The 11,621-nt window shown below is 32.0% G+C and overlaps 1 long non-coding RNA gene across 1 annotated transcript; it reads left to right on the top strand.

Moving 5' to 3' along the window:
- The first annotated feature begins 43 nt into the window (after window positions 1-43).
- On the top strand, window positions 44-7,299 carry LINC02378 (long intergenic non-protein coding RNA 2378). The gene is made up of 5 exons (NR_146522.1): window positions 44-128; window positions 2,837-2,891; window positions 4,600-4,660; window positions 4,755-4,899; window positions 7,186-7,299. It is a non-coding gene; the product is annotated as a long intergenic non-protein coding RNA 2378 (long non-coding RNA).
- The last annotated feature ends 4,322 nt before the right edge of the window (window positions 7,300-11,621 follow it).

Raw genomic sequence — 11,621 nt, 5'->3', positions numbered from 1 at the left:
TCTTCTAATGCCCGTTGTCATTTTGTTGCAGTATCTGACTTCAGCGATTTGTCTTCTTGTCTCAATAAGTGTAAGAAGTGGGTAGAGGATGGAAAGGGAGAAGAAAGGATTAAAGTTAAGCCTGAATGGTAAGAATCCTCTCTTCAGATACCCATATGTAAATAATGTTTGCCCCATCAAATGTCTGTGTGTCTTTCTCATCATTATATGTTCTTTTAAATTGGGATTGTGTTTCTGAAACCTCAGTGACTCAAATGTTTGCTGAATGAAGTAGCAAATGTCAAATTTCTGCTGGTAGGCATGTTCCATTATTAATTTGCTGCGATGTGTATTAGTTTGTAGCTCCAATATGTGTTTTTGAGTCTGAGAGGAGTTCTTTATTTGATTTTTGTCTTGTAGAAAACAAAACAACAACAAAAAAACTGTGACTTTTTGTTCTATTTTGAATCGAATGTAATAGAAAGCAACTCACTGCCTCAATGTATCTTCCCTGACATCTGCCAGTTTCTCTAAAGCTTACAATGAGAAGGCCTCTCTCAAGGGTTTTAGATATTTTAGATTATTTTGAGATCACATGCATATAAATTGTATATAATGAAACATAGTTTAAATACTTTAAAAGTATTCTACTTTCAAAATTGCAAAATAAAGTTGCTATTCCTGAATCACTTGGGAAGATGTTGAATAGAGAGGCTTTATGTATTAAGTATATTACATACTTATAAATATTTTAAAATCTTTTATACATTGAAATATATTAATTATAACATTATCTTCAAAATACCAGAACACAGGAACTTAGGAGTTAAAATCGAGGGAAATTATATTCTTTACCTACTCTAATGTGACTTAATTTTGCAAAAGTATGTAGACAGTGGGAAAATGTTCATACTTTATGTGTTATATTAAAGAGGAACCATGGGGGCATATTAAGTCATATATAGGTGCATATTTCCTTAATGTCAAAAGTTCAAATAAAATATCTAATGTATGTACTTTTTAATATTATTTTACTCCAGAATCTCATTATGTTTCATTATATTAAAATAATGTACTGCATTTTGTTATGTGATTTGTGTTTTCTGCTTCCTGTTTTTCTCTCAAATGTGTGAAAATGCTTTGTGTCACTAATTTTATCTTCATTCTGATGTCTCATTAGTAGGTATTATTTTCAAAGATATATGTTTTTGTATGGAAGTAAAGATGTAAACTATTCACTTCCCATTGTTTCTAAAACATCGTTATCGTCCATGTTCAAGCAGAAACACATTGTTTAATTGTGCTAGCAGCATTTGCACAAAAAAGCTTCAACCCCCAGCTCTTCCACATAACATTCTGAGGATTTCATGGCCCCAGTTCTCCATTTTAAAAATACAGTTAGAGGATAATTTTGATACCTTTCAACCCTTAACTTTGACAAAGAAAAAAAGGTATCACTTAACCATTTTGTTGATATTTTATTTGTACTCCCTTTTCCAAGAGGAGTTAAGTTAGATAAAAAGATCAGCAGGATAGGCCTCCAGGCTGAGGCTACCCAGGATTGGACTCAATGTCTGGAAATCACTTCTGTGATTTTAATATGAGTTGAGTTTCTGATCAACAGTTTTGCAGGGATATAAATGTCACACATTGTACATGACACCCCCCCCATGTCAGCCATTATAAAGATATTCTATACTGCCAATATTTTAACATCAATTAATCACTGTACTTCTAAATGTGTTGAGTTGGTTTTATTATGTTCACAGTGTACTGATGATTTTATTTATTCAACAAATGTTTATTAAGCACGTAGTACAAGTCGGTCACTGTGGTAAGTTTTGGGACAAAGCTTCTTACCTCATATGCCTGATACTATAATGGGTAGACACTAAATAATAAACAAATTAACACAATAATTATAAAACAAATACAACATTGAAGTGTAAAGTGGCTGGCAAAGCTAATTAAAGCTAACTAGCAGTAGCTTTCACATAAAGATCATAAAATATATTAAATAGTGGGTTGAGCTATATTCTCTACCAAGAATATAAGAAGCCGAATCTTTTGAAAATTAAAGAAGCACATTAGGGAACGTGGCTGTAGGAGTGTATTTAACTATCCCAAGGTACAAATAAGTACAAAGAGAAAAGGTTCTTTTTTAATAGACTAAACTAGATTAAGAAAAAAGTTTCAGAGATATACATTAATAATCAATATGTATTATTAATATTTAATTAGCTTACTTGCAACTGATGAGTTTGTATATTGTCACCTGAACAATAAAAAGACAAAAATGAGGGATTTCATTCGTATTTAGCTGCCAAGAAAATCTTTTAGACAATTTATTATTTTTGATGGTAGAAAAAAGGGAAGGAAGAGGCCGGGCGAGGTGGCTCACGCCTGTAATACCAGCACTTTGGGAGGCCGAGGCGAGTGGATCATGAGGTCAGGAGATCAAGACCATCCTGGCTAACACGGTGAAACCCAATCTCTATTAAAAATACAAAAATTAGCCGGGCATGGTGGCGGGCACCTGTAGTCCCAGCTACTCGGGAGGCTGAGGCAGGAGAATGGCGTGAACCCGGGAGGTGGAGCTTACAGTGAGCCAAGATCGCGCCACTGCACTCCAGCCTGGGCAGCAGAGCTCAAAAAAAAAAAAAAAAAAAAAAGAAAAAGAGGGAAAAAAAAAGGAAAGAAAAAAGGGAAGGAAGAAAATGGGATCTTTAAAGTCTGAAAGTTAAAGTTGGTTTGGGGGACAGTTAAGGAATATATATTATTGATCATGTTTAAATCTCTCTACATTTTTATCTCCAATTTACTTTGTTGTTCACCATAATATTCTCTTCACTTCTAGTTTCATTCTCCACCTTAACATGACCGCATCTACTAATAGCCAATAAAATGAATTGGTGAGTTGTTTTGTTTTTATATCATTGGCTTTGTGGTCTTTTCCTCTGTTCAGGCATTAAACAAATTACTCTTTCACAGAAACCATTACTTTATTTTCTTAGTCTTATTTATATTGATTATGAAATAATCAAATTATAGTATCAAATGGACAAAATTTAATTTTTTTAAAAGGCCTCAGACATATTCACAATAAGAAGGTGTAATTAGTAAATCTGCAAATCAATGGTATATTTATGCAAAGTTGACTCAAAACGGTGCTTCCATGTTAGAGAATTAATTATGCAAGTCTTCGTCCAATCTGGGCTCATTCTTGTAGGACAGTAACAAACGCTACCAGAGTTCACTGAAGCTTAGGACTCTCTTTTTAAAGATATTCGAAGTCGTTTGGTAACATGAGAATTTAGAATGACAATAAAAATGACTCATTGAAAGGCAAACAATATTAGAGATAAACCCTTTTTTGATTTAAATAATTGATAAAATGTATGTGATATATTAGGCATTCTAGTATCAAATCCCAATCATTTGTCATCAGTTGATTGACAGACACTTAAAATAAAATTATTATACCTGTGTTTAGATAATAGGTTTATTCTTGTTCCCGGTTCACATCTTTTTTGTATCTTGTTTCTACCTTAAACTGGTAAAATTATTTAGTTTTTCTCTTTCATCCAAAAGAATTGTCTACTTCTAGAATCAATTATAATAATATATAATATCTAATATTGGTATCTAATAAAATGTTTATAATACAGAAACATTCTACATATGAATAATTCTTAGAACATCTCAATAAAAGAAAAATAATTCTAAAACTTTATTAATGAAGAGTCATTACTTTTAAGTAGAATTAATCCAGTTTTCTCAAAATCTATTCAGAAAAAGCATTTACAGCTTGTCAGAATTAATTTAAGCCTTACTTGTATAGTTTTTATTTTTTACTTGTTTCTGGTTAATATGCCTGAAGAGCTGAGATCCAAAAAAATAATTTCTGCCATAGAATCAGAAAAAACAAAACAAAACAAAACTGGGGATGAAAATCAAGTGTAGGCATTACAAATTAACTTTCTTGACCATTTAAAGATTTTAGATAGTTCTTAGGAAATATTTAATTTTGAGTAGAACGTTTTGTGACTAGGCTTACTAAGATAGTTAATTTTTTTAAATCAGAATAACTAGATCAATTGCCTTGTTGCCTAAAATCTTAAGTTTTTTGGCCAAGCTGATGTTGGACAATTTTTTCTGCCAATTTTGAATAATAGATGTTTACTGCTTTTTTAAGCCCCTTCTAAACCTATAGCACCAACAAGGAGATTATATTTACATTTATTTATTTAAATTCAGCCAACATTAAGTGAGCTTCCACTTTGTGGCTAGCATTGTGTTAAGTATCTGCAATACAGAAAAGAAAATAATTACAGTCCATATGTCCAAAAAACTTATAGAAATTAAAACATTTTATTAGTTACGTATGGCTGTTTAACAACTCACTCCAAAAATAAAATGACTTAAAATGACAATATTAATTTACTGTAGCTCATAGTTTCTGTGGGCCAGAAAATCAAGAGTGGCTACACTGAGTAGACCGGACTTGGAGTCTCTCATGAAGTCACAGTCAGATTAGGCTAAAGTGTCTGACAGTGTCCATGTAAATGGCTAAAATGTTAATGATGGTGTTTATGGAGTTCTTTGCTTCTTTCCTCCTAGGCCTCTCTACTGGGCTGCTTGACCTTCCTCATGACATGGCAGTTGGTTTTTCCCAGAGCAGATAAGTCAAGAAATCAAAACAGAAATGACATTGGATTTTATGACCTAGCCTAAGAAGTGAAACATTATCATTTACTTTGTATTCATTTTATCACACAGGAACAACCATGATTCAATATGTGAGTAGGCTATACAGGAGACAGGAACCATTGGGAGCCATTTTGAACACTCTCTACTACAGGATCAAAAGCAAATAATTACAAAACAGTACATCAATGCAACAATGGCATTATATGTAAGGTAAATACATAGGACAGAATAATAAAGTCATAACTGAATATGAAGACATGATAGAAATTCTAATTAGGTATTATACTGGAAAAATATAAATGTCCTCAATAAGTTGAAATAGAGTATATGTATGTTACATTTTAGAAGTAAATATTATTTGTTTTCTATTCAATACTTCACTACAAAAATAAGTTAAACTATACTGTATTGCTAGTTACAGAAGTAAAGGTTGAATACAATTTCTTTAGTACAATTTTTTTAGATTCTTTATTCTAGATCACAAAAACTTTGACAACTTTTTTTTTATTTAAGAACATAGTGCTGAACATATCTTTAAGAGCAAAAAACCACAAATTATAATTTGACAAGAAATAGAATGGTGACTGTAATGAATCATTTTCTTACTGCCTTGTTTAATGTTAATAAAAATTAACTAAATAAAAGCTGAAAATAGCTTACAATTCAACACTTGTTTGAAGGAACAGGATTTTTGTGATCATCCATTATACATCTAAATGACTTCTATTGATACATATTAATCAATACTGGGCATATTAGCAGATTGTGTCTTTGGAATAACTTCTATACCAAGCCTAATATTTTTCTGATAATCATTGATGCAATTAATACATTCAGATGAAAAGTTTTAAAATAATTAATACGCACTTTTTTTTTTTTTTTTTTTTTTTTGAGACGGAGTCTCCCTCTGTCTCCCAGCCTGGAGTGCAGTGGCGCGATCTCCACTCACTGCAAGCTCCGCCTCCCGGGTTGACGCCATTCTCCTGCCTCAGCCTCCCCAGTAGCTGGGACTACAGGCGCCCGCCACCACGCCCGGCTAATTTTTTGTATTTTTAGTAGAGACGGGGTTTCACCGTGTTAGCCAGGATGGTCTCGATCTCCTGACTTTGTGATCCGCCTGCCTCAGCCTCCCAAAGTGCTGGGATTACAGGCGTGAGCCACCCCGCCCGGCCAGCACATTTATTTTTAAGAACAAATAGAAAACAACACATATAAATATACATATATACATATATTTCATGTGTCAGTAAGCATAATAAATCACAATAATAATGATCATACAATATTGGAGATATATATTATTTTTAAATTAAATGTTGTAGTCAAATTGGTGAAATGTTCAGCCCAATGTTATGTTCTCAGTTTGTACAATTAAAATGAGACCAGGTTTCTGTATTCTCATTCTTATTACTCTTTCAACAGTCAGTTCTAATGAAGATGACAGCCATCATTTAAATACACATCATTAGGTAAAGAACATAAATGTCAATAAAACATTTTCTATTAAGTAGCAGGCTGATGGCACCATAAAAATGAAAATTTTTCAAGTTGTAAAATATAGTCAAAGTCATAATGGAGTACATTAACACAGTTTGGCATTCTCTCCGTATTCCTTAGTGAACTGAAAAAGAGCTTTAATTAAAAATGATTTTGATTGCTTTACGTTTATACTGCAAAAGATGTACAATGTTTTCCAAGAAACTCTTCTTTACATGAAACTAACTTAGATAGATGTACACTACCTCTCAAATAGCTTCATTCATTTTTCTTTGAATTTTAAAAATTTCATTAATTGGTATTTATTTGAATTTATGTCACACAGAGGGCTTGAATTTGTGTGTACATCAGTGGCATGTTAATTCCACTTTAGCCCACATGTGTTAGTTGATGTAGTAAAATGTACATTTTTTACAAAACAGTACATATTTCAAGGGTTTGCCTAGTAAATGGACTCAGAAACAAGGTGCCAACTTTGTTTTTACCTTTCATATTGCTTCATTCATAACAGTAATATATGATCCTCCAAATTTGCCCAACATTATTTAAACTGAATTTTCTAAAAATAGAGATCTTTTGAGGTTTTCTTGTTTTTTAACTATATATCCATGAATACTTTTAGCTGTATGATACAAATTAGCAACAAAAACAATTTTTAAAAAAGAATTGCTGCTACTGACAAATTTAACTTCAAGGAAATTTCGTTTACAATGGGAAAGCAAAATGGATGTTTCGGTCCTAAATTAGATAACTGTACTACCTTTAATCTTGAAAGAGCGTTATTTTTTCAAAAATTATAGATTAATGCTTAGAATTTATTTAGAAGATATTTTCAATATAAGTCAGGAAACACTTATATTTTAAGGGTGTATGACAAAGAAATTAGATGCCTATAAATAAAATATAAGTCTAAATCAATTTGAGACAAATTTAAAGACTAATATAAACTTGGTATCTAGCTTTGGGAAATATCCCTTTATTCTCTTTTTTTGTCTTGAGCATTAATATAGAATTTTGGAGGGAAATCACGAGAAAACTGAAGACATCTGTCCACCAAGAAAAGCACAAAAGCTATAAACTGAAGATAGATATATTTTCAACTAACTGCAGTCTTCAAGTAAGCAGCTGTTATTTTAAAAAGCAGAAGTAGAGATACAGAGCACTACGATCTCAAATAGAATTGAGATTTAAAATTATGCATAAGGAATTAACATACTTTAATCCTAAAGAAAGAGAAAAAATATATTAAAGGTCATCGTGACTAGAACCTTTAATTGGCAAAAAGCTTGTATTCACACATCTTATCAGATGATTTCCATTTGTGAGCCATTCTTGATTCTAATTCTCATTTCATTATAACAAAGTTATAACAAAAAGGAAAACTACCACATTTCAGCAAATCAAAAGATAACCTCAAATATCTCCTTCACCTCCATCCTTCAATTGTTGCTTGAAGGAATTGTACACCCAAAAGCACATATACACACACTAATATAAGTACCACTAAATGCCATGCAGTATCATCTATGAGGGAAACACTGCCACTCAAATACACAGAGTTGTAAATATTCTCATTTATATTTTTGTCATTTTATAAACATTTCTGATATTAGCATCAAGAAAACAAAGGAACAAAAATAACAGTTTCTAAATAAAATAAAAAAGTGTAAACTTAGAATGTCTATGATTTAACAAATAAAAATTTTTCTCTTCCTCCCTCTCTCCTTCCTTCCCTCCCTTCCTCCCTCCTTCCTTCCTTTTCTTTCCCTCTTTCTCTTTCTTTCTTTTTCTTTCCCTTTCTTTCATCTGTCTTGCAAATACTCTTCTTATCCCTGATCTATTCATGTGTTCTCACCTGGGAAGAACAAAGCTTTACCTTTATATTACAACAGCTAAAATAGTTCACAGGAAATTAACTGAAGTTCCTTGGAAATTTTTCATGTTCAAATACTTCAACTTTGTGTTCAGATATTCTATTTACTGCCTTGGGCACTGTTATTTACCCATTCTGAATTAGGTTGCTTCATCTATTTAATGGGAATAAAATAACAATACCTAGAGATGGCAGTTGTGAATCATACAAGTTTTTGTAGATCTTCTTAGTATAAGATTAATAATTCTGTTTTAAACACATTATCCAAAGTTGCAACAAAAAATATGACTAGAATGCATTCTCCAGTTGTAAATTTGGCAATCAACTCTGAAGGGTTGTGTTCAAAAAGAAAATCCATGAATGTCAGTTATGTATGTATGTTTGGATAATAGAGATGATGTATAAAATATATCTAATGCAAACCAAGCAAACTTTTAATTTTTATGTCAGCACAAATAACTCCCTATTGTAAACAAGAGTTACCTTCTATAGTCAGTAAACAAGAAAGGTTGACATATTTTTAAATCTAATAAATAAATAAAATATCTAATGCAATGTTAAGCATATATTAGTTGGTCAATATTGTTTGTAAACTTGAATTTAAAACTCTTCATAGAATCATGTGTTCTAACATCTTACTCTCTCAAGGAATTCCTACTACAACCTCAGTGCATTTAAGTACATGTATGTAGTGGGAAGCTCATTTTCTTAAGACAGAGGCTGTTGCATTATTAGACAATTCTAATTGCTGATACATTCTATCTTAAGTTGAATTCAAATATATGTTTCAATAATTTACACTCATGAGATCTATTAATTCCCTGTGGAGAAACAGACAACATATTTATTTTCTCTACAATAGTAGTCCTTTAAATATTTGAAGACAACATCCATCTCTCTAGCTATTCCTTCACGTTTTACAAGATTTTAAAATACATTACTTTTTTATTTTTTAGTGTGTAGTCAATTTTAATTTTTGTTGTGAACAGATATATATTGCTACAGTGATTTGTTAAGGGAAAAAAGAAGAAAAATAATAATGTAAAGTGTGAAAAAAAAAAGTGCTGGTGTCCTCATTAAAATGTGATTAAATGTTTAAACTTCCAGTACATTAACACTGACATTTTGTCTTTTAAACAGTGTCAGGTAATGAAGGTCAACACAAGCAAGCGTTCTGTTTCTGGCCCTTAGTTAGAAGCACACTGTACTTGGACTTCACAGCAGGGAACTGTCAGGCACGGTTCTCCTCTGTGCTGCTTCTCTCTAAGTACTAGCTTGCAGCTGGCTCCAGCACATGGTAGTGTATGGAGATATTTTCTGGGGTCCACTGCTTCAATCACTATTTAATGATTAATTACTGCAGTCTGATGCCAGGGTGAGACATTCAATGCTTCAGGTAAAAATCTTAACTATAGAAAATGACAGCAGGCAGGGTTTTGAAAGCTGAGTTGACTTTGTATTTCTTCTGAAGAATTTACCCGATTTTTCTATCCACTTGTAAGGAGTGAGGTGAAAAAAGACAAAATTGTCAAGTAGCAAACGCCAACCAACAATGACAGGGGTGGTATTCAGCAGAATAGTCTATGATTGTCACTCACAATGAGAATAGTGCAGACAGATAGACAATAACTAACTCTCTACTGGAAACCAAGCAAACAACTTTCAATTGACATTCGGGATATAATGGCTCTGAGCTGTGAAAAGAGTCTTCTGACAATGTGCCTTGTAAGCAAATAAGGGTGAGATACGTTTTCTACCAATGTATGTTTTTGAACTCCCTGTACCCTGAAGTATGAGGGGAACATATTCTTTATGATATATAATATTTAGTGGTAAAATAAATAGTTTGGTAAAAAGACTACCCTAATATTAAAGTAGTATAATTGTCTATTTTTATTTCTCAGTAATTGCCTGTAACTTTGAACCATTTATATTGAAAGAAATTTTAGTTTAAAAATAATGCAGCAATATGACAGCTAATACTGACATGAATCATGCAAGTTGAAAGAGGAACTTTGTATTCTGATAAATTTGGATAATTTAAAATAATCCAGTAATTATTAAAATGTTCACTAATTAATCTTTTTTGTTCATAAATTTTAACTATTTCTGGTTTTCTACAAAACCAGTAACAGCTTTCTTTTCATATAATATGTGTTTTTCTTCAGTATAGTTACCTTGAAACAAGCTCAAAATACTTTTAAGCAACAAGAAATATTTTTAAAAATTGCCAAGTAACTATTATTCAATGATATTGGACGTTATCCTTTGCATGTGGCTTGGTAATGGATAAAGAGATAATTAGAATGTTTTAAGGATATAAAAGCAATTTATGCAGATAGGAATACAATACCTATTTGTTTAATAGATTCTAGATCACCCATCTATAAATAGGCATTTATGAGTTTATTTAGAACTCAGAATATGTTTTTATTAAATAATGTAATAAGTATTTGTTACATTTCTAGGCTAGAGTGCCTAAATATCTTTTAACAAACTGAGCAAGTTTACATTTGCTATAAAGAGTAGAGTGATAAATGTTACCGTGAGACAACATATGGTATTACAACTATAAGTTTAGTAGTAGTTATTTTTTTAATGTTGTCTAGGTTTCAATTTTGGATTTTGGGATTATTTCTATGCCATTCAACATTATCAGAAATGAATAAAGATTTGCTTTTCACTTTCGGCTCTCTCCTTCAGATCATCTCACTGATGCCTATGGCAGTAAGAAGAGAGTCTTAATGCCCATAGTTTTAAATACATAAGCATCCTGTGTAAATCATGGGCTTACCTCCAAGGGACAGCTCTATAAGAACAAATAATACCAATCTCAATTCACTAGATATACAGAATTTTTTCAGAAAGAAATAAGGAAGAATTATATTTCAAAATGACTGTTTTTTCTTGTTATGGATAGACATAGATCATTTATTAAAAATTAAATATGGACCACAAGAAGCAGTATAAATATGGCCTATATTTTTATAACATTGGTCTCAACATTTAAATATTTTTAATAATTTGCTAAAAATCATAAAATACAATTCACTTTGTTCCTGGTATCTGTGTTTAAATGATTTAAATATTTTTAACTTCATCGTAGATCACTCTTCCTCATTTTGACAATCAATTAGTGAGTTCCAAGGGAGGTGGCAGAGACAGAACCTCTAAACTTCAAATACTCAGTTAGCAAAAGACAGTTTATATAAATTAGATGATTTAACATATTTTGACTCCTACGCTGTTCTGAAATTAGCCACTGATATGGTTTTGCTCTGTGCCCCACCCAAATATCGCCTCAAATTGTAATCCCCACACGTGGAGAGACAGACCTGGTGGGAGGAGATTGTATCATGGGGTGGTTTCCCCCATGCTGTTATTGTGATGGTAAGTTCTCACGAGATCTAATTGATAAGCATCTGAGATTTCCCCTGCTCTCTCTCCCTTTCTCCTGCCACCACATAAAACGTGCTTGCTTCCCCTTTGCCTTCGGCCATGACTGTTAAGTTTCCTGAGGCCTCCTAGCTATGCTTCCTGTGAAGCCTGAAGAACTGTGAGC

The sequence above is a fragment of the Homo sapiens genome, chromosome 12, assembly GCF_000001405.40.
Source record: "Homo sapiens chromosome 12, GRCh38.p14 Primary Assembly".
In the NCBI taxonomy this organism is placed as follows: Eukaryota; Metazoa; Chordata; class Mammalia; order Primates; family Hominidae; genus Homo; species Homo sapiens.
This window is presented reverse-complemented; position numbering and strand designations above follow the sequence as displayed.